The 1,810-nt window shown below is 57.2% G+C and overlaps 1 annotated feature.

The window, feature by feature from the left end:
- Positions 373–948: an enhancer, noted in NCBI's record as "H3K27ac-H3K4me1 hESC enhancer chr19:23343199-23343774 (GRCh37/hg19 assembly coordinates)". NCBI's record gives its function as "activates a minimal SCP1, AML or CMV promoter by ChIP-STARR-seq in primed H9 embryonic stem cells {active_cell/tissue: H9 hESC(primed)}" and the evidence as "EXISTENCE:reporter gene assay evidence [ECO:0000049][PMID:30033119]".

A 1,810-nucleotide genomic window follows, 5' to 3' on the forward strand; every position in this document is an offset into this window, starting at 1 on the left:
ATTAACGTTTCAAAACTTGCTTAAACCTTCAAAACAAATTTTAACCTTTTAATGTAGGTAAAAATCCACATTCTTATGCCTCCTTATAATCCTTTTACCAAAGGTATATTTTACCTTTCTTATGGACCTTGCACATAAACTGTTTCTTCAATAGTACTCAGGAGGCCTTATTATTTTTAAATTATACAACATTTCTTGCATAATTTTTTTTTTTTTTTTGGTATATATTGATCATTCTTGGGTGTTTCTCGGAGAGGGGGATTTGGCAGGGTCATAGGACAATAGTGGAGGGAAGGTCAGCAGATAAACATGTGAACAAAGGTCTCTGGTTTTCCTAGGCAGAGGGCCCTGCCACCTTCCGCCTTCCACAGTGTTTGTGTCCCTGGGTAGTTGAGATTAGGGAGTGGTGATGACTCGTTTAACCAGTATGCTGCCTTCAAGCATCTGTTTAACAAAGCACAACTTGCATCGCCCTTAATCCATTTAACCCTTAGTGGACACAGCGCATGTTTCAGAGAGCAGGGGGTTGGGGGTAAGGTTATAGATTTTTCCTAGTACAGAACAAAATGGAGTCTCCCACGTCTGCCTCCCTCTACACAGACACAACAACAATCCGATCTCTCCCTCTTTTCCCCACACTTCCCCCTTCTCCATTCAACCAAACCGCCATTGTCATCATGGCCCTTCTCAATGAGCTGTTGGGCACACCTCCCAGATGGGGTGGCGGCCAGGCAGAGGGGCCCCCCACCTCCCGGGGCAGCCGGGCAGAGGGGCTCCTCACTTCCCAGATGGGGCTGCCGGGCAGAGGGGCCCCCCACCTCCCAGACGGGGTGGCGGCCGGGCAGAGGGGCTCCCCACTTCCCAGACCGGGCGGCTGGGCACAGGCGCCCCCCACCTCCTGGGTGGGGTGGCTGGCCGGGCGGGGACTGCCCCCCACCTCCCGGACGGGGCGGCTGCCGGTCGGAGTCACTCCTCACTTCCCAGACGGGGCAGCTGCTGGTCGGAGGGGCTCCTCACTTCTCAGAAGGGGCGGCCGGTCAGAAACGCTCCTCACCTTCAAGATGGGGTGGCGGCAGGGCAGAGACACTCCTCAGTTCCCAGACAGGGTCATGGCCGGGCAGAGGCTCTCTTCACATCTCAGACGGGGCGGCGGGGCAGAGGCGCTCCCCACATCCCAGATGATGGGTGGCCAGGCAGAGACACTCCTCACTTCCTAGACGGGGTGGTGGCCGGGAAGAGGCACTCCTCACTTCCTAAACGGGGTGGTGGCCGGGAAGAAGCGCTCCTCACTTCCCGGATTGGGCGGCCAGGCAGAGGGGCTCCTCACATCCCAGACCATGGGCGGCCAGGCAGAGACGCTCCTCACTTCCTATACAGGGTGGCGGCCGGGCAGAGGCTGCAATCTCAGCACTTTGGGAGGCCAAGCCAGGCAGCTGGGAGGTGTAGGTTGTAGCGATCTGAGATCACGCCACTGCACTCCAGCCTGGGCACCATTCAGCACTGAGTCAGCGAGACTCCGTCTGCAATCCCGGCACCTCGGGAGGCCGAGGCTGGCAGACCACTCGCAGCCAGGAGCTGGAGACCAGCCCGGTCAACACGGCGAAACCCCGTCTCCACCAAAAAATATGAAGACCAGTCAGGTGTGGCAGTGCGCGCCTGCAATCCCAGGCACTCGGCAGGCTGAGGCAGGAGAATCAGGCAGGGAGGCTGCAGTGAGCCAAGATGGCGGCAGTACAGTCCAGCCTCGGCTTGGCATCAGAGGGAGACCGTGCAAAGGGGAGATGAGGACCATGAAAAAGGGAGAGGGAGA

The sequence above is a fragment of the Homo sapiens genome, chromosome 19, assembly GCF_000001405.40.
Source record: "Homo sapiens chromosome 19, GRCh38.p14 Primary Assembly".
Lineage (NCBI taxonomy): Eukaryota > Metazoa > Chordata > Mammalia > Primates > Hominidae > Homo > Homo sapiens.